The 22422-nt window shown below is 43.7% G+C and overlaps 1 protein-coding gene and 1 pseudogene across 4 annotated transcripts in view; one reads left to right on the forward strand and one right to left on the reverse strand.

Annotated features, from left to right (window-relative positions):
- Positions 1 to 22422, reverse strand: part of IP6K1 (inositol hexakisphosphate kinase 1) — a 62249-nt gene that overhangs the window by 37179 nt on the left and 2648 nt on the right. The window contains exon 2 of one of the 4 annotated variants that reach the window (XM_047449323.1): positions 9048 to 9165. The exons of the other annotated variants lie outside the window; for them this stretch is intronic. The gene's annotated coding sequence lies outside the window, so the exon portion shown is untranslated. The remainder of the gene's footprint in view (positions 1 to 9047; positions 9166 to 22422) is intronic. 4 annotated transcript variants of the gene reach the window in all.
- On the forward strand, positions 13784 to 14709 carry PHF5AP3 (PHF5A pseudogene 3; annotated as a pseudogene).

Genomic DNA, 22422 nt, shown 5'->3' on the forward strand with positions numbered 1-22422 from the left:
GCGCAATGGCAGGCACCTGTAGTCCCAGCTACTTGAGAGGCTGAGGCAGGAGAATGGCGTGAACCCGGGAGGCGGAGCTTGCAGTGAGCCAAGATCGTGCCACTGCACTCCAGCCTGGGCAACAGCGCGAGACTCCGTCTCAAAAAAAAAAAAAAAAAAAATTAATAACCTAAGGTTCTCATTAACAACTTAGAAAAAAGGCCAGGTGTGATGGCTTGCACCTGTAAACCCAACATTTCAGGAGACCAAGGCAGGAGGATGACTTGAGGCCAGGAGTTCAAGAGCACCCTGGTCAACAGAGAAAGACTCTGTCTCTACAGAAAAAATGAAAATTAGGCAGGCATGGTGGTACATGCAGTCCCAGTTTGGAGGCTGAGGCACCGAGATTACTTAAGACCAGGAGTTTGAGGTTACAGTAAGCCATGATTGCACCATTGCACTCCAGCCTGGGTGACAGAGTGAAACCCTGTCTCTCTCTCTTTCATTTATTTTTTCTGGTGAGATGGGGTCTCACTGTTGCCCATGCTGAAGTGGCCTGGCACGATCTTGGCTCACTGTAACCTCTGCTTACTGGGCTCAAACGATCCTCCCAGCTCAGCCCTGAGAGTAACTAAAACTACAGGTATGCACCACCATGCCCAGATAATTTTTGTATTTTTTGTAAAGACAGGATTTCATCATGTGGCCCAGACTGGTCTCAAACTCCTGTACTCAAGTGATTCACCCACCTCAGCCTCCCAAAGTGCTGGGATTACAGGCAAGAGCCACAAGCATCTTTAAGAAAGAACAGGCCGGGTGTGGTGGCTCACACCTGCAATCCCGGTACTTTGGGAGGCTGAGGCAGGCGGACCATGAGGTCAGGAGACTGAGACCAACCTGGCCAACATGGTGAAACCCCGTCTCTACTAAAAATACAAAAATTAGCTGGCAAGGTGGCGGGCGCCTGTAATCATAGCTACTTGCCCTACTTGGGAGGTTGAGGCAGAAGAATCACTTGAACCCGGGAGGCAGAGGTTACAGTGAGCCAGGATCGTGCCACTGCACTCAAACCTGGGCAACAGAGCGAGACTCTGTCTCAAAATAATAATAATAATAATAATAATAATCTGAACACTCCTATATCTATTAAGAAAACTGAGTCTGCGATCAAAAATCTTTCCACGAAGAAAACTCCAGACTAGGTTTCACTAGTGAATTCTATCAAACTTTTAAGAAAGAAATATCAATCTTACATAATTTTTTTTCAGAAAACAGAAAGAGAGAGAAAGAGAGTAGTTCCCAACTTGTTTTACGAGGTCAATTATTGCTTTTTTTTTTTCAGACATAATCTTACTCTGTGACCCAGGCTGGAGTGCATGGCACAATCCCAGCTCATGGCAACCTCTGTCTCCCAGGTTCAAGTGATTCTCCTGCCTCAGCCTCCTGAGTAGCTGGGATTATAGGAGCGCACAACCACGCCCAGCTAATTTGTGTATTTTTAGTAGAGACGGGGTTTCACCACGTTGGCCAGGCTGGTCTCAAACTCCTGACCTCAAGTGATCCACCTGCCTCAAGTGATCCACCTGCCTCAGCCTCTCAAAGTGCTGGGATTATAGGCGTGAGCCACCATGCCTGGCCAAGGTCAATTATTTCTTTTTTTTTTTTTTTTTGAGACGGAGTCTCGCTCTGTCACCCAGGCTGAAGTGTAGTGGCGCAATCTCGGCTCACTGCAAGCTCCGCCTCCCGGGTTCACACCATTCTCCTGCCTAAGCCTCCCCAGCAGCTGGGACTACAGGCGCCCGCCACACACCCGGCTAATTTTTTTTGTATTTTTTAGTAGAGACGGGGTTTCGCCGTGTTAGCCAGGATGGTCTCGATCTCCTGACCTCGTGATCCACCCGCCTCGGGCTCCCAAAGTGCTGGGATTACAGGTATGAGCCACCGCGCCCGGCCAAGGTCAATTATTTCTAATAACAAAACCTAAAAAAGAACCTTAACAAAATAAATAAGAAAAAAGATTTTAGAACAATGTCCTTCATGAATACAGATACAAAAATCTTCAAAAATTTTTAGCAAAACAATTCCAATGATATATAGAAAGAATCCCTCATGACAAAGTGGGAAATGCAAGGTTGATTAAACATCTAAAGAATCAATCAGTATTACTACTCATCATATTAACAGAAATAAGGAGAAAAGCCATAAGATGTAATCATCTCAATAAATACAGGAAAAAAACCTGACAAAATTCAGTACCCATTCATAATTAAAAACTCTCAACAGGTTGGGTGTGGTGGCTCACGCCTGTAATCCTAACACTTTGGGAGGCTGAGGCGGGAGGATCACTTGGGGTCAGGAGTTCGAAACCAGCCTGGCCAACATGGTGAAACCCCGTCTCTACTAAAAATAAATAAAAATAAATTAGCTGCGCATGGTGGCGGGCACCTGTAATCCCAGCTACTCGGGAGGCTGAGGCAGGAGAATTGCTGGAACCCGGGAGGCAAAGGTTGCAGTGAGTCAAGATCACGCCACTGCACTCCAGTGTGGGCAACAGAGCAAGACTGTTTCCAAAAAAACCTCTCAACAAACTAAAGATAGAAGGAAACTTCTTCCTCACTTAATAAAGGGTATTTATGAAAACCCTATAGCTACTGGGTGCGGTGGCTCATGCCTGTAATTGCACACTTTGGGAGGTGAACGTGAGAGGATCACTTGAGCCCAGGAGTTTGAGACCAGCCTGGGCAACATAGTGAGACCCCATTTCTACAAAAGAAAAAAAAAATAGCCAGACATGGTGATGCACACCTATAGTCTCAGCTACTCAGGAGGCTGAGGTGGGAGGATTGCTTAATTTCAGGAGTTCAATGCTGCAGTGCGTTATGATTGTACCACTGCACTGCAGCCTGGGCAACGAAGCAAGACCCTGTCTCTAAAACGAGAAAAATTTTAAAATATATACAACAAACAAATTATATATTGATTGTGTATGTTATCAGTGAGGCTTCCAGTCAACAGTAGGCTACTAATAATTAAGCTCTGAGGGAGTCAAAAGTTATATGCAGGTTTTTTGACTGTGTGGGGAGTTGACACCCCAACCCCCACACTGTACAAGAGTCAACTATATACATTCAAGAATCCCAATGAAGTCCAGGTGTGGTGGCTCATGCCTGTAATCCCAGCACTTTGGGAGGCCAAGGCAAGCAGATCACTTGAGGTCGGGAGTTCAAGACCAGCCTGGCCAACATGGCACAATCCCATGTCTACTACAAATACAAAAATTAGCCTGGCGTGGTAGTGCACACCTGTAATCCCAGCCACTAGGAAGGCTGAGGCATGAGAATCACTTGAGCCTGGGAGGCGGAGGTTGCAGTGAGCAACCTGCACCACTGCACTATAGCCTGGGTGACAGAGTGAAACTCTGTCTTGAAAAAAAAAAAAAAGAATCCCAATGAACCCAAATAGGATAAACTCAAAGAGACCCATATGAGACACATTATAAAACAAAAACGTGTTATGAAACTATTGAAACCAAAAGACAAGAATGAATATTTAAAGCAGCAAGAGAAAACTGATGCCTCAAGTACAAAAGATCCTAAACGAGATTAACAGCAGATTTCTCCTCAGAAACCTCCAAAAGGCAGTAGGATAACATATATAAGTCCTAAAGGAAAATACTGTCAACCAAGAATTCTACATCTGAAAATACTATCCAAGAATGAAAGAGAAATTAAGACATTTCCAGATAAAGACTAAGGGAGTTGCTAACTACTAGACCAGATCTACAAGAAATGCTAAAGGGAGTCCTTCAGGCTAAAATGAAGGGACACCAGACAGTAGCTAAAAAGAAAAAGAAAAAATATAGAACACTGGTAAGGGTAACTACATAAGTAAACATAAAAGCCACTGTAGGCAGGGCGTGGTGGCTCACGCCTGTAATCCCAGCACTTTGGGAGGCCGCGGCAGGCAGATCATGAGGTCAGGAGATGGAGACCATCCTGGCCAACATGGTCAAACTCTGTTTCTACTTAAAAAAAAAAAAAAAAAAAAAATTAGCAGGGCATGGTGGCACGTGCCTGTAATCCCAGCTACTTGGGAGGCTGAAGCAGAAGAATCACTTGAACATGGGAATCAGAGGTTGCAGGGAGCTGAGATCGCCACTGCACTCCAGCCTGGCAACAGAGCGAGACTCGTCTTAAAAAAAAAAAAAAAAAAAGGGCCGCTGTCACTGTACCTTTGGTTTATCATTTATCTCTTTTTCATATACCACTTAATAGTCAACTGATACATAAACTATGTAAAAATCTACATTACCCAGGCACTGTGGCTCACACCTGTAATCCCAGCACTTTGGAAGGCTAGGGCAGGTGGGTCACTTGAGACCAGGAGTTCAAGACCAGACTGGGCAACACAGCGAAACCCCATATCTAAAAAAAAAACACACAAAGCCAGGCGCGGTGGCTCACGCCTGTAATCCCAATACTTTGTGAGGCCGAAGCGGGCAGATGACGAGGTCAGGAGATCAAGACCATCCTGGCTAACATGGTGAAAGCCCGTCTCTACTAAAAATACAAAAAATTAGCCAGGTGTGGTGGCGGGCGCCTGTAGTCCCAGCTACTTGGAAGGCTGAGGCAGGAGAATGGTGTCAATCCGGGAGGCGGAGCTTGCCGTGAGCCGAGATTGCACCACTGCACTCCAGCTTGGGCTTCAGAGCAAGACTCCATCTCAAAAAAACAAAAACAAAAACAAAAACAAAAAGCACAAAAATTCGCTGGGTGTGGTGGCAGATGCCTGTAGTCCCAGCATCTCGGGAGTCTGGCTGAGGTGGGAGAATCACTTGAGCCCAAGAGATCAAGTCTGCAGTGAGCCAAGATCGCGCCACTGCACTCCAGCCTGGGTGACAAGAGCGAAACTCTGTCTAAAAAAAAAGAAACGCCAGGCGCTGTGGCTCACAACTGTAATCCCAGCACTTTGGGAGGCCAAGGCAGGTGGCTCACTTGAGGTCAGGAGTTCGAGACCAGCCTGGCCAACCTGGTGAAACTCTGTCTCTACTAAAAATTAAAACATCAGTTGGGTGTGGTGGTGGGCACCTGTAATCCCAGCTACTCAGGAGGCTGAGGCAGGAGAATCACTTGAACCCGGGACGCAGAGGTTGCAGTGAGCCAAGATCGTGCCATTGCACTCCAGCCTGGGTGACAGAACGAGACCTCATCTTAAAAAAAAAAAAGAAAGAAATCAGCCAGGTACAGTGGCTCACACCTGTAATCCCAGCACTTTGGGAGGCTGAGGCGAGCAGATCACTAGGTCAGGAGTTTGAGACCAGCCTGACCAACATGGCAAAACCCCGTCTCTACTAAAAATACAAAAATTAGCGGGCATGGTGGTGGGCATCTGTAATCCCAGCTACTCGGAAGGCTAAGGCAGGAGAATCACTTGAACCCTGGAGGCAGAGGTTGCAGCGAGCGTGCCACTGCACTCCAGCCGGGGTGACAAGAGCAAGACTCCGTCTCAAAAAAAAAAAAAAAAAAAAAAAAAAAAAGAAAGAAATCCAAGGGCCTGAAATCCTACAGTTTTGGGAAGCCATGGCAGGAGGATTGCTTAAGCTCAGTTTGAGACCAGCCTGGGCAACTTAACAAGATCCCATCTCCACAAAATTTTTTTTTTTATTTTTAAAAAATCAGCTGAGTTGCACTGGCTCATACCAGTAGTCTCGGCTACTTGGAAGGCTGAGGCAGGCAGGCAGTCACTCAAGCCCAGGAGTTTGAGGCTGCAGTGAGCTACATTCATATCACTCATTCCAGCCTGGGTGACAGGATGAGACCCTATCTCTTAAAAAATAATAATAATTGGCCAGGCGCGGTGGCTCACGCCTGTAATCCCAACACTTTGGGAGGCCGAGGTGGGCAGATCACCTGAGGTCAGGGGTTCAAGACAAGCCTGGCTAACATGGTGAAACCCCATCTCTACTAAAAATACAAAAAAGTAGCCAGTTGTGGTGGCACGTGCCTGTAATCCCAGGTACTCGGGGGGCTAAAACAGGAGAATCACTTGAACCGGGAGGCGGAAACTGTGGTGAGCAGAGATCACGCCACTGCACTCCAGGCTAGGTGACAGAGTGAGACTCCATCTCAAAAAATAATAATAATAATAACAACAACTTAAAAAAATAAAATTAGTCTGGGTACAGTGGCTCATACCTGTAATCTCAACACTTTGGGAGGCTGATGCAGGTGGATCACTTAAGCCCAAGAGTTTGAGACCACCCTGAGCAATATAGTGAGATCCCATCTCTATTCTAAAAAACCGATTAATTAATTTAAAAAGAGTGAAAACATCACCCACAGAATAGCAGAAAATATCTGCAGATCATACATCTGATAAAGGATTAATACATGGAACATATAAAGTACTTGTATAACTCGACAACAACAAAAATAACCCAATTCATAAATGGGCAAAGGCCTTAGACATTTCTCTGAAGATTTACAAATGGCCAAAAAATATGCAAAAAGATGCTCAACTTCATTAGTCATTAGGGAAATGCAAATCAAAGCCACAATGAGAAACTACTTCACATCCAAGTTATAAAAAAAAAAAAAAAATAGAAAATAAGTGTTGGCAAGGATATGAAGAAATTGTAACACTTGTGCACTGCTGGTGAGAATGTAAAGAAGACAGTATGGCAATTCCTCAAAAAGTTAAACATAGAATTACCATATGATTCAACAATTCCACTTTTAGGTCTATACCCAAAAGAACTGAAAGGAGGAATCCAAAACAGATATTTATACACCAATGTTCACAGCATTATTCACAATAACCAAATGGTGTCTACGACCCATGTCCATCAACAGATAAATGGATAAAGATATGCGGTATATACATACAGTGAAATATTATTCAGCCTTAAAAAGGAATGAAATTCTGATGCATGTCACAACATGGATGAATCTTGAAAACATTTTGCTAAGTGAAATAAGCCAGGCACAAAAGGGAAAAAATTATATAATTATAATTCCACTTACATAAAATAAAACAGGGCTGGGCACAGTTGCTTAAGCCTGTAATTCCAGCATTTTGGGAGGCTGAGGCAGGTGGATCACTTGAGGTCAGGAGTTCGAGATCAACCTGGCCAACATGGTGAAACCCCATCTTTACCAAAAATACAAAAATTAGCCGGCCGTGGTGGCGGGCACCTGTAATCCCAGCTACTTGAGAGGCTGAGGCAGGAGAATCACTTAAACCTGGGAGGCGGAGGCTGCAGTGAGCCAAGACTGGGCCACTGCACTCCAGCCTCGGTGACAGAGTGAGACTGAGTCTCAAAAATAAAATAAAATAAAATAGGCGAATTCATTGAGACAAAAAGATTATTAAGAACGTACAAGGGGCTGGGGGAGGTGAGAATGGGGTGTTACTATATAATGGGGAGAGTTCCTATTTGGGATGATGAAAGTAGTTCTCAAAACATCATTGTGAATGTATTTAATGCCACTGCATCATACCCTTCAAAATAGTTAAAATTCTACATTTTCTCATGTATATTTACTACAATTTAAAAATTTCATTTACAATAGCATCAAAAAAATCAAATGTCTTGGGTCAAATTTAACAAAACGTGAAAGAATTCTACATTAAAAACAATGAAATAATGTAGCAAGATAGTAAAGAAGGCATAAATCAAGAAATATGCCTCACACAGCACATGGATTAGAAGGCTCAATATAGTTAAGATGTCAATTCTCCCCAAATGAATCTATAAATTCAGTGGAATCTCAACCATAATGGCAGGAGACTTTTTTACAGAAATTGACAAGCTAATTCTAAAATTTATATGGTAATAAAAAGAAACTGTAATATTCAAATAAATCTTGATAAACAATAAAGTTGGGTTATTTACACTGCCTCATGTCAAGACTTCCTATAAAGCTACAGTAGTGGGGTACTGGCATATGGATAAACAAATAGATCAATGGAACAGAACACAGATTTCACAAACAGGCCCATATCTACAGAGTCAATTGTTTTTGGGATTTTTGCCAGCGACAAATCAGGATATAACAGTCAATTGTTTTTCGACAAAAGTACCAAAGCAAACCAATGGGGAGAGAAAATTTTGGTAGTTTTAAACTATGTCAAATTTTTTTACATTCTTCCCTCTAAAAAGTGAAATCCTCCTCTCTCCTTGAGTACAGGCTAGACTTAGGGACTCATTCTAATGAAAAGAATATGGCAGAAGTGACAGTGTATGACTAGGTCATAAGAGGCTTCATGGTTTCTTCCTTACTTTGTCTTAGATCATTTCTGTAGGAGATAACTGCACGCCATGAGGAAACTCAAAGAGCCCTGTGTATAACTTGTTAGCTTTAAAGTAGGGAAAATTTAAAAACAAACAAACAAAAGCCCTGGGTAGAGATAAACAATATGGAACTGAGGCTTCCTGCAAAGAGCTTTATGAATAAGTCATCTTGAAAACAGATCCTCTAAGCCAAGCATGGTGGCTCAGGCCTATAATCCCAACACTTTGGGAGGCCAACAGGGAAAGATCACTTGAGCCCAGGAGTTCAAAACCAGCCTGGGCAACATCTCTACAAAACATAGAAAAAACTAGCCCTGCATGGTGGTGCATGCCTGTAGTTCCAGCTTGAGAGGCTGAGTTGGGAGGATCACTCAAGCCCAGGAGGCCAGGGCTGCAGTAAGCTGTGATCACCACTTCACTCTAGCCTGGGCCACTTCTGAATTCCTAGCCCTCAGAAACTGAGGTAATAACTGTTTGCTGTTTTAAACTGCTAAGTTTTGGAATAATTTGTTACAGAGCAATAGATAATACACAAGTCTTTTCAACAAATGTTGCTAGTAATGGAACAATCAGTTATCTATGTGGGGGAAAAAGAAACACCAGCCCCAATCTCACACAATAACAAAAATTAACTTAGGATGACTCAGAGACCAAAATGTAAAAGCTAAAACTAGAAAGCTTGTAGGTGAAAACACAAAAAATAAAGTTAGGCTGGGCATGGTGGCTCATACCTATAATACCAGCACTTTGGGAGGCCAAGGTGTGCAGAGCTCACCTGTAGTCTTAGCTACGCGGGAGGCTGAAGTGGGAGAATGGCTTGAGCCCAGGAAGTGGAGGGTGTAGTGAGCGGAGATCATGCCACTGCACTCCAGCCTGGGTGACAGAACCAGACCCTGTCTCAAAAAAAATAAAGTTATATGATTTACACTACCTGACTTCAAGCCTTGCTAGAAATGTCCAACACTTAAGAGGTAGGCAAGGTGTCCTCAGACACTCAGACAGAACACAGAAAGCAATAACCATAACAGAAATTATTGATAAATCGGACTTCATCAAAATTGAAAACCTCTGATTATTTATTTATGAGATGGAGTCTTGATCACACCCGTATTCCTAGCATCTTGTGAGGCCCAGGCAAGAGGAATGCTTGAGGTCAGGAGTTCAGGATCAGCCTGGGCAAATATGCTGAGACCTCCGTTGCTACAAAAAATTTTTAAAAAGAAAATAAGCTGGGCATGGTAGTATGCACATGTAGTCCTAGCTACTAGGGAGGCTGAGGCAGGAGGGTCGTTTAAGCCCAGGAGTTAGAGGGTACACTAAGTTATGATCACGCTACTACACTCCAGCCTGGGCAACAGAGCAAGACCCTGTCTCTAAAAAAACAAAACAAAAAACAAAAAATATAGTATCCAGAATACAAAAAAACTTCCTAAAACTCAGTAACAAAAAAAAAAAAAAAAAAAAAAAACCCTGCCAGGCACAGTGGTGAACACCTATAGTCCCAGCTACTTGAGAGGATGAGGCAGAAGGATCCTTTGAGCCCAGAAGTTCAAGTCCAGCTTGGGCAACATAGGGAGGCCCTATCTCTAAAAGATACATTTCTTTAAAAAATAAAAAAGCCAATTTTAAAAAAAAATGGGCAACAGATTTGAATACATACTTCACAAACGAAGATACACAAAGACCATTAAGTACAGGAAAAGGTGCTCAATATCATTAGCATTCAGGTAAGTGAAAATTAAAACCACAATGAGTTACCACTATACTTTCACCCAAATGGCTAAAATTAAAAACACACTACAACACACTTAATGTTGCTAAATGTGGAACAACCACAACTCTCATACATTACTGGTGAGAGTGTAAAAATGGTACAACCATTTTGGAAAAGGTATTATAGTTTCCTATAAAGCTAAACATACATCTATCCTATGACCCAGCAATTCTAGTCTCTTCAAGAGAAATGAATGTGTATGTCCACACAAAAAACCTTTGCAAAAAAGTTCATAAAAGCTTTACTCATAAGGCAAACACTGGAAACAGCCCAAATATCTATCAACAGAATAAACAAACTGTAGTGTTAATGCAATGAAATACTATATAGCAATAAAAATAAACTACTGATACAGACAACAGCATGTATAAATTAAAACACTACACTGTGTGAAAGAAACCTTACTCAAGAGTGGCCAGGCGTGGTGGCTCACACCTGTAATCCCAACACTTTGCGAGGCCAAAGAGGGAGGATCGCTTGAGCCCAAGAGTTTGAGACCAACCTGGGCAACATGGCAAGACCTCTACAGAAAATTTTTTTAATTAGCTGGGTGCAGCAGTGCACACCTGTAGTCCCAGCTACTTGGGAAGCTGAGGTGGGAAGATCCCTTGAGCCCAAGGTGGGTTCAAGGTGGCAGTGAGCTATAATTGCACCACTGTACTCCAGCCTGGGTGACAAAACAAGACCCTTTCCCTTAAAAAAAAAAATATATATATATATATATGTGTGTGTGTGTGTAACACATATATATGTAATATATATGTTATATAGTCTTCCTTTTTAACTTAATATATTTTATATATATAATATATAGGAAGACTATATAATATATAAAATATATATATATAGAAGGCTATATATACATATATTGTCTTCTTATATTCTAGAGCGTTCTCTTTTTTGAGACAGGGTCTTACTCTGTTACCCAGGCTAAAGTGCAGTGGCACGATCATGATTCACTGCAGCCTCCATCTCCTGGTCTCAAGCAATCCTCCCATCTCAGCCTCTCTAGTAGCTGGGACTATAGGCACATGCTGCCACACCCAGCTAATTTTTTTATTTTTTGTAGAGACAAGGTTTCACCATGTTGCCCAGGCTGGTCTCAAACTCCTGGACTCAAGTGATCCTTCCATCTCAGCCTCCCAAAGTGCTGGGATTACAGGCATGAGCCACCACACCCAGCCTCTCTCTACTTCTGACTAGCCAATTTCTCATTACTCCAGTCTCTGTTACAGTTAATAATTCTTTTTTTTTTTTACATAGAGACAGGGTCTCACTACGTTGCCCAGGCTGGTCTTGAACTCTTGAGCTTTTTTTTTTTTTTAAAGACAGAGTCTCACTCTCACCCAGGCAGGAGTGCAGTGGTATGATCACTGCTCACTGCAGCCTCCAACTCCTATGCTCAAGTGATCCTCCTACCTCAGCCTCCCCAGTTGCTGGAATTTTAGGCATGTCCCACCATGCCCAGCTAATTGTTTATTTTTTGGTAGATAAGCGGGCCTTGCTGGGTTGTCCAGGCTGGTTTTGAACTTCTAAGCTTAACTGATCCTCCTGCCTCAGCCTCTCAAAGTGCTGGAATTACAGGCATGAGCCATTGCACCTGGCCAATTAATAATTTTGTATATAGTCCCAATTCTACCAATGAAAAGTAATACTGTAAACAGTCAAGTTAATATGCTTAAGGGTCCAAGTGGTCCTGCCTGGTACACTCTGCTTCATGAAATTACTCAAACTTAATATGGGCTCCCTGGCACCAAGGTCAGCACTTACTTTAGAGACACCTGCAAAATATGTAAGATAGCCACATACTGGCCGGGCGCGGTGGCTCACGCCTGTAATCCCAGCACTTTGGGAGGCCGAGGTGGGTGGATCACAAGGTCAGGATATCGAGACCATCCTGGCTAACACAGTGAAACCCCATCTCTACTAAAAAATACAAAAAATTAGCTGGGCGTGGTGGCGGGCGCCTGTAGTCCCAGCTACTTAGGAGGCTGAGGCAGGAGAATGGCATGACCCTGGGAGGCGGAGCCTGCAGTGAGCCAGTGAGCCGAGATCGCACCACTGCACTCCAGCCTGGGCAACAGAGCAAGACTCCGTCTCAAAAATTAATAAATAAAAAAGATAGCCACATATTTTATAATACATCTTCCCAAATAGAGAAGAAGCTTTTTAATATTCATTATATTTTCTATGCTAGTGAACTCACTTTAATTTTTGCTGCACTGTCTCCAGGTAAAGTACCAAAAACAGTAAACCAAAATAGCCTATGTATATCCTGCCTAGCATGCTGCTTGACCCTGATCCATACAACATCTTCAAGTTGAGCATAAGTCTTTATAAATAAGTTTCAGAATATTCACTAGCTAGGCATGGTGGTATACATGGGAGGCTGAGGCAGCAGGATCACTTGAGCCCAGGAATTCGAGACCAGCATGAGTAACATTAGCAAGACTCTCTCTAAAACACACACACACACACACACACACACACACACACACACAACACACACATAAAACCAGAATACTCACCACCAAACCAATTTTTTGTCCGAATTGCAACTATAAAGTCTCCAAATTAGTCAGGGACCATTAAATTTAAATTTGCAGGCCGGGCACAGTGGCTCATGCCTGTAATCCCAGCACTTTGGGAGGCCAAGGCAGGCGGATCATGAGGTTAGGAGGATCGAGAACATCCTGGCTAACATGGTGAAACCCCATCTCTACTAAAAATACAAAAAAAATTAGCCGGGTGCGGTGGCGGGTGCCTGTAGTCCCAGCTACTCGAGAAGCTGAGGCAGGAGAATGGCGTGAACCCAGGAGGTGGAGCTTGCAGTGAGCTGAGATAGTGCCACTGCAGTCCAGCCTGGGCGAAAGAGCTAGACTCCATCTCAAAAAAAAAAAAAAAAAAAAAAGAAAAAAAAAATTTAAGTACTTACATGATCAAATACATATTGAGTATCTACAGAGTAAGACCATGTAGTATATTATTACTAACAAGACAAAAATAATTCCTGCCTTCAGAGAACTGAAAGTCAGTATGGCCCAAGAAGTTAATGGTAAAACAATGAAATATTACAAATTCAGCTATGCATAATAGGTGACCTGTGGAAATGACTTTTAATGGGAGAGGGAATTTAAGGGATGAATACTTATCAACAAAAGCACTGTCTGTGGCTCCCAGACATTAAAGTCTAGAACACTTAGCTAGGGCTCTGACACAAGAAACTATACAGTCAATTCTCATTATTGATGGTAATTATGTTTTATAAAGTCATTGTGTACACTGAGTTATTGAATACTGAGTCACTGCACCTAGACAAAATAAATGGTTAAGTTCCTGTAGGCCTCTGGTCATAATTTCTTTTTTTTTTTGTTTAATAAACTCTCAGCCAGTAGAAGATGATCTAGTCATATTTTCATTAACCAATTAATATACAACCTTCCAGATCTACATACATACAATATAAAACCTTTTAGGTATGTTTCTATTTAAAAACACCTTATTTAATATAAATAACTGATTCATTAACACTGAACTATAGTTAACAGCATTATAACTCATGCCTGAACAAAACTTCCCTACACATTCCTTGTAAGGTAATCAAAGCCTTCTTGTGTTTAAAAACACCAGGCAGCACTTCAATACGTTTGGGGGCCATTTTAAGCATCAAAATCACCAACAAGGCCAGGCGCAGTGGCTAACAACCTGTAAGCAGTCTCGAAAAAATAAAAAAATAGGCTTCTAGCGGCCGGCTTCATTGGGAACTATGGCTAAACATCATCCTAATTTGATCTTTTGCTGCAAGCCAGCTGGTGTTGTCATTGGAAGATTGTGTGAAAAATGTGACAGCAAGTGTGTGATTTGTGACTTTGTGCGTCCCTGCACTCTGGTGTGCTATGTGATGAGTGTAACTACGTATCTTAGCAGGGGTGCCGTGTGATCTGTGGAGGCCCTGGGGTCTCTGGTGCCTATTACTGTAAGGAGTGCACCATCTAGGAGAAGGATAGAGATGGCTGCCCAAAGATTGTCAATTTGGGGAGCTCTAAGACAGACCTCTTCTACGAACACAAAAAAATGCAGCTTCAAGAAGAGGTGATTGGTGGGTGGCCCCTTCCTCCCCACAACATCAAGCTGCTGCAGCGGCTAGAAAAGATGCCTGCTACTCCCGGCAGAAAGGGAGCAGAGCCCAGAGCATCACCAGGAGTGCCTGCTAGTGTCCTGGCAGCTTACCAACCCTCCCCTCCCTTCACCCAGACATGTGGTAGGGATGGAAAAGGATTCTTCACAGAGCACTCTGGCACACTGTATTGGAGAAAAATTGATAGATTAGTTAATGGTTTTTCTTGAATTTGAGAAGCAAAGATCTGTTCTCCATATTGATATGTTCTCCCTCAACCAAGATCTTCTAAGAAATAATATTTTAGTCTTCTGCTTGAGGAGTTGACTGTGAAGCTACACCCAGTGAAAAACATGATCTTGCAGCAGCTCTGGTGGCAGCTGTCCTTGAAGAACCTTTGGTGTATGGTGGGAAGCTATCAGAACAAGAAATGTAGCCATTTACTCTTTTAACACTTGCGCTATTGTCATGTTATTTTCCTTCTGAGAAATTGGAAACCCTTTCTGTTGCTATTACATTAATAAAGTTAGTGTTTATTTTCTGGTAAAATAAATAAAAATGAAAATAAACATTAAAAATCACCAACAAAAAGTAAATCAGGACAGGTGCAGTGGCACACGCGTGTAATCCCAGCACTTTGGGAGGCCGAGATGGGCAGATCACTTGAAGCCAGGAGCTCGAGGCCAGCCTGGACAACATGGTGAAACCTCATCTCTACTAAAAATACAAAAATTAGCCAGGCATGGTGGTGCATGTCTGTAATCCCAACTATTCGCGAGGCTGAGGCAGGAAAATTACTTGAACCTGGGAGGCGGAGGTTGCAGTGAGCCGAGATAGCACCACTGCACTCTAGCCTGGGTGACAGGGCAAGACTCAGTCTCAGTAAAAAAAAAAAGCAAATAAATGCAAAAAACCATGGTACTAAATAGACCAAGAAAAGGACACTTATTTACAGTATGATAATTGAAAAGAAGGCAGCAGCATGTTGCCTTGTTTAACCTCAGCTAGGAACACACAACTCAAAATTTTTGTCACTCTGTGCACATCTATAAATGATAGCAAAAGCACCAAAAGTACTGATTTTGGGGTTACAAGTAAATTTTAGCAGGTCTGCAAACTTGAAAATACAAACTCTGTGAATAATGAGGATCGACTGTATATTAATATGATTCCATTTATGTGAAACTTCTAAGAAACGCAAATTTAATCTACAGTGATAGAAAGATTGGCACCTGTCTGTGTCCAAGAAAGCAGGCTGGGGTTGACTGGAAAGGGAAATAAGAGTACCTTCTATGACTAACTGACATCTTTTCACTGGGCCGGGCACAGTGGCGCATGCCTGTAATCCCAGCACTTGGGGAGGCCAAGGTGGATGGATCACTTGAGGTCAGGAGTTCGAGACAAGCCTGGTCAACATGGCAAAACCCCATCTCTACTAAAAAAATCAAGAATCAGTCCATTGTGGTGGCACATGCCTGTAATCCCTGCTACTCTGGAGGCTGAGGCACAAAAATCACTTGAACCTAGGAGGCGGAGGTTGCAGTGAGCCAAGATGGCACCACTGCACCCCAATCAGGGTGACAGAGCAAGACTCTGTCTCCAAAAACAGAAATCTTTTCAATGAAGTGAAATAGACATCTGTTGGGCCAGGTGCAGTGGTTCATGCCTGTAATCCCAACACCTTGGGAGGCCGAGGTGGATGGATTGCCTGAGGTCAAGAGATCGAAACCATCCTGGCTAACACAGTGAAACCCCATCTCTACTAAAAATACAAAAAATTAGCCGGGCGTGGTGGCACATGCCTGTACTCCCAGCTACTCGGGAGGCTGAGGCAGGAGAATCACTTGAACCTGGGAGGTGGAGGTTACAGTGAGTGGAGATTGCGCCACTGCACTCCAGCCTGTGAGACAGAGCGAGACTCTATCTCAAAAAAAAAAGAAAAAAAGAAAAATTATACCACAATAAAGTTGGAAATTTCTTTAAAAACAATGATAAAGGGCCAGGCGTGGTGGCTCACGCCTGTAATCCCAGCACTTTGGGAAGCCGAGATGGGCGGATCACAAGGTCAGGAGATCGAGACCATCCTGGCTAACATGGTGAAACCTTGTCTCTACTAAAAATACAAAAAAATTAGCCGGGCGTGGTGGCAGGCGCCTGTAGTCCCAGCTACTCGGGAGGCGAAGGCAGGAGAATGGCGTGAACCCGGGAGGCGGAGCTTGCAGTGAGCTGAGATCGCGCCACGCACTCCAGCCTGGGCGACAGAGCGAGACTCTGTGGCAAACAAACAAACAAAAAAAACAATGATAAAGCATAAAGGTCAAAGATCAGAGATCAGCTGGCCATTTCTGGTGTGCAGGGGATTTTCTTTAACAGTGAAATGACTTTTTTTTTTTAAGACGGGGTCTCTCAGCTGGGTGTGGTGGCTCACACCTGTAATCCCAGCACTTTGGGAGGCCAAGGCGAGTGGATCACAAGGTCAGGAGATCGAGACCATCCTGGCCAACATGGTGAAACCCCGTCTGTACTAAAAATACAAAAATTAGCCGAGCGTGCTGGCACATGCCTGTAAATCCCAGCTACTTGGGAGGCTGAGGCAGGAGAATCACTTGAACCCTGGAGGTGGAGGTTGCAGTGAACTGAGATCGCGCCACTGCACTCCAGCCTGGGCAACAAGAGTGAGACTCGGTCTCAAAAAAAAAAAAAAGGCAGGGTCTTGGCAAGGTGTGGTGGCTCATGCCTGTAATCCCGGCATTTTGGGAGGCCAAGGCAGGTGGATGGCTTGAGGTCAGGAGGTCAAGACTAGCCTGGCCAACACGGTGAAACTTCGTCTCTACTAAAAATACAAAAATTAGCTGGGCATGGTGGTAGGTGCCTGTAATCCCAGCTACTCAGGAGGCTGAGGCAGGAAAATCAGTTGAACCTGGGAGGCAGAGGTTGTAGTGAGCCGAGATCGTGCCTCTGCAATCCAGCCTGGGCGACAAAGCGAGACTTCATCTCAAGAAAAAAAAAAGATAGGGTCCCACTCTGTCACCCAGGCTGGAGTGCAGTGGCCCAACCACAGCTCACTGCAGCCTCAAAATCCCAGACACAAGCGATCCTCCCATCTTAGACTCCCCAGTAGCTGGAGTTACAGTCACGCACCACCACGCCTGGCTAATTTTTTTATTTTTTGTATCGATGGGGTCTCGCTATGTTTCCAGAGCTGGTCTCGAACCCCTGGGCTCAAGTGATCCTACTGCCTCAGCCTCCAAAGTGCTAGGATTACGGGGATGAGCCACCATGTCCAGCCAATACGTTTTTAATTAACAGCTTTATTGATATATTATTCACACATCATACGGTTCACCCATTAAGGTGTACAATTCAATGATTTTAAGTATAAAATTTAAAAAAAGTATAAAATATTCAGAAATAGGAGCAACCATCACAATTTTAGAATGTTTTAATCATCTCAAAAAGAGATTCCATACTCTTAAGCTATCTTTTTCCCTATCCCCTACAACCACCTCCAAGCCCTAAGCAATCACTAATGTACTTTCTGTTTCTATAGAATTGCCTATTCTGGATATTTCACATAAATGGAATCATGTAAATGTGAACTTTTGTATCTGACTTCTTTCACTTTAACATGTTTTCAAGGTTCATCCATGTTGTAACATGTATCACACTTCGTTCCTTTTTATTGCAGAGTAATGTTCCCTTGTATGTATACACCACATTTTATCTGTCAGTTGATGGACATTTGGGTTGCTTCTCCTTTTGGCTATTATGAATAATGCTGCCATAAACATTCATGTACAAGTTTTTGTGTGAACATTTGTTTTCATTTCTCTTGGGTAGATAGCCAGGAGGGAGATTGCTGGGTCATATGGTAACTCTATGTTTAACCACATAAAGACTGTTTTCCCAAGTGGCCCACTTGACATTCCCACCAACAATGTATGAGGTCTCTAATTTCTCCATATTTCCATCAACATACGACATCATCTGATTTTTTTTACTACAGAGTAAGTTGTTTAATGATTGTTCATTCAATCATAATACACCCAAATTTTTCTTTTCTTTTTAGAGACAGGGTCTTGCTCTGTCATCCAGGCAGGAATGCAGTGGTACAATCAAGGCTCACTGCAGCCTCAACCTCCTGGGCTCAAGCAATCCTCCCGCCCCTGCCTCCCAAGTAGCCGAGAATACAGGTGAATGCCACTATGCTCGTTTAACTTTTACTTTTTTTTTGCAGAGATGGGGTCTCACTATGTTGCCCAGGCTGGTCTCAAACTCCTGGGCCCAAGCAATTTGCCTGCTTCAACCTCCAAAAGTTCTGGAATTATGGGCATGAGCTACGGCACCTGGCCTACACCTAGATTTTTATGTATTTATAAGATGCTCTTATTCATCAACATTGAATTTTAGACTTGAAAAGAGTCCAGTCCTAGACCTGCTCCCCTACCCTGCCCTCCTTTTATATAATGAGACAGGAATAAATAAGCTAAACCCACAAATAAAATTTTACAAAAGAGATCAGCAGATTTTCTAGGCACTCAACAAAACAAAGTCCCTAACAGAGATCCAGCACTGAAGTGAACATGTGTTCCCATCAAAGCTCATTTGTTACATCTTCTAAATAAACGTAACTTCAAACCACAGTAGCACACGAGAATCTTTATCATCTTTCATACACACACACACACACACACACACACACACACAGTCTTAGGCTTTCCTACCCAGAATCTATTGCTCAAATTCTGCTGTAGTAGGAGAAATGAAAACCTATATTTAAAAATTAGTGCAAAAGCACAGATCCAGAGCCACAAAGACACAAAATGCCTGACTGCTTCCTTGTTGCAAGTCAGAAACAAGAGTGTACTGTGCGTCTTTCCCCAGCTCTGCCCATCACTGTTCCTTATAGCGTCAGGGCTGCACTGGGAGGAGGGCAGGCAGCAAATACTGCCATTTACAGCAGCCCAAGGAGGCAGTGAGATCAAGCCACAACAAAGAAAAGGGCCTAAAAATGTTTGCATCCAGTGCCATGCTCACAGAAATGTTTTCCTAGAAAAGTGGCACTTTAACCAGGAAGGGCTCTTTCCAGGCCTTAGTTCTGCCCTTTGAGCAAGTTCTGTCTCTGTTCTGCAGCACTAAGGGATGGGCCTGCCTCTATAAAGCACTAGAGTTAACATATGCAAGCACTTCAAGGCAAGGCAGGGTGGAGGCAGAAATTCATAGCCACCAAATCCCCACTTCTACTTGCCCACTCCCTTCTATTTCCCTGTTTAATTACAAAAGGTGTTTCCAACTCAGACAAATCTAGTACATCTTTATAAATATTTGGTCCTCATCTACTACGTACAGGCGCAAAAAGACACAAAAAGTGTAAAATACAGTCCCTGTCAGAAAAGGATTATTAGGCCCTACCAGAGGAAACAAAAAAGATTTTTTTTTTTTTGAGACAGAGTTTCACTCTTGCTGCCCAGGCTAGAGTGCAGTGGCGCAATCTCAGCTCACTGCAACCTCTGCCTTCCAGGTTCAAGTGATTCTACTGCTTCAATCTTCCAAGTAGCTGGGATTACAAGCACCCGCCACCACGCCTGACTAATTTTTTGTATTTTTAGTAGAGACAGAGTTTCACCATGTTGGCTAGGCTGGTCTCGAACTCCTGACCTCAGGTGATCCACCCGCTGTGGCCTCCCAAAGTGCTGGGATTACAGGCGTGACCCACTGTGCCGGCCTAAAAAATTATTCTTAAAAGAGCAAATACTATTTTGATGTTTGTTTCAGAGCAATAATGTAACTGCAGTTCAAAGGGTATGAAATATATCCCCAGGAGCAGAAATGTTTTGGGGACGTTTTATAAAGAAGGTAGGTAGAAATGGAGCTGGACTATGGACAAGGGAAAAGCTGAAGCAAAAGGTCATCTCCACAGGCCATAGGTCACTGGATTCAGCCATGAGAGGATTTGTGCAGAGAAAGAGTATGTATGGAATGTTTAGCAAACCATTTGGTTAGTGGGGATTAGGATAAACCCTGAGGAGGTAGCCTGGAGCCAGCTGGACTATATCACCTTAAATGCCACATTAGGACATCAGATCTCATCCCATAAGCCTGTAGCAGTTCCTGATTTCAGTGCAGGATCTCCGTAGTCTGTACAGTGTGAAAAACTCCTGAAATTGGCCAGGCAAGGTGACTCACATTCATAATCCAGCACTTTGGGAGGCCGAGGTGGGAGGATCACTCAAACCCAGGAGTTAGAGACCAGCCTGGGCAACAAACAAGACATCATGTCCATTAAAAAAAAAAATTAAAATTAAAAATTAGCTGAGCACAGTTGTGCCCACCTGTAGTTCCAGCTACTCTGGAGGCTGAGGCAGGAGAATCACCTGAGCCCAGGAATTCGAGGCTGCAGTGAGCTATGATCATGCCACTGCACTCCAGCTGGGCAACAGAGTAAGACCTGTCTCAAAAAAAAATTAAGTAAATAAAAATACTAAAGTTTACAGATAAATTATGCAAAGATAAAGAACAGTGGATGGAAAGTCTGCTTTTTCTTTTTTTTTTTGAGACGGAGTCTAGCTCTGTCGCCCAGGCTGGAGTGCAGTGGCGCAATCTCGGCTCACTGCAACCTCCACCTCCCAGGTTCAAGTGATTCTCCTGCCTCAGCCTCCTGAGTAGCTGGGATTACAGGTGCACGCCACCACACCTGGCTAATCTTTGTATTTTTAGTAGAGACGGTTTTTCACCATGTTGGTCAGGCTGGTATGGAACTCCTGACCTCGTGACCCGCCCACCTTGGCCTCCCACAGTGCTGGGATTACAGGCTTGAGCCACCGCGCCCGGCCTGGAGGGTCTACTATTATAACAACAGTCTGACACATTTGCACTTAAAAATGCCCATCACAAGCCAGGCACAGTGGCTCATGCCTGCACTTTAGGAACCCGAGGCAGGAGGATCATTTGCACCCACGAGTTTGAGACTAGCCTGAGCAACATAGTGAGACCCCCATCTCTACAAAAAAATTAAGACAAAGAAAATTAGCCAGGCATGGTGGCGCATGTGTGTAGTCCTAGCTACTTTGGAAGCTGAGGCAAGAAGATCACTTGAGCCCAGGAGTTGGAGGCTGCAGTGAGCTACAATTGTGTCACTACACTCCAGCCTAGGAGGTTTTTAAGAGACTGTCTCTTAAAAAAGGCCAGGCGTGGCCAGGTGTGGTGGCTCACACCTGTAATCCCAGCACTTTGGGAGGCCAAGGTGGGTGGATCACTTGAGGTCAGGAGTTTGAGACCAGCCTGGCCAACATGGCAAAACCCCGGCTCTACTAAAAAAAAAAAAAAAAAAAAAAATTAGCCAGGCGTGCTGGCGCACTCCTGTAGTCCCAGCTACTCGGGAGGCTGAGGCAGGAGTATCACTTGAACCCAGGAGGCGGAAGTTGCAGTGAGACAAGATCATGCCACTGCATTCCAGCCTGGGCGACAGAGTGAGACTCTGTCTCAAAAAAAAAAAAAGGCCAGGCATGGTGGCTCATGCCTGTAATCCTAGCATTTTGGGAGGCCAAGACAGGAGGATCACTTGAGACTAGGAGTTCAAGCCCAGTCTGGGCAACTGAGACCCCATCTCTACATAAGTAATTTTTAAAAATGCAAATGACAGCCAGTGTGGTGTCTCACCCCTGTAATCCCAGGCCAAGGCTGAGGCAGGTGGATCACCTGTCAGGAGTGACCAGCCTGGCCAACATGGTGAAACCCTGTCTCAGAAAAAAAAAAAAAGCAGGGGCTTGGGACAATTTTGAAAAGCTAATATTTTTGCTGGGTGCAGTAGCTCTCGCCTGTAATCCCAGCACTTTGGGAGGCCGAGGTAGACGGATCATGAGGTCAGGAGATCGAGACCATCCTGGCTAACACGGTGAAACCCCGTCTCTCCTAAAAATACAAAAAAATTGGCCGGGCATGGTGGCAGGTGCCTATAGTCCCAGCTATTTGGGAAGCTGAGGCAGGAGAATGGCGTGAACCCAGGAGGTGGAGCTTGCAGTAAGCCAAGACCATGCCACTGCACTCCAGCCAGCGCAACCGAGCGAGATTCCGTCTCAAAAAAAAAAAAAAAGAAAGAAAGAAAAGCTAATATTTTAATATCCCCCTCCTTTCAAGAACTGCCCAAGGAACTGGTCTTACCAAGATTATAATGAACTAAAGATTCAAAAAATGGCCCTGAAGGACAATGAAATAAATAACTAAAGACTACTCAACTTCTCCCTTGCCTCACAAGTGCAG

The sequence above is a fragment of the Homo sapiens genome, chromosome 3, assembly GCF_000001405.40.
Source record: "Homo sapiens chromosome 3, GRCh38.p14 Primary Assembly".
NCBI classification, from domain to species: Eukaryota; Metazoa; Chordata; class Mammalia; order Primates; family Hominidae; genus Homo; species Homo sapiens.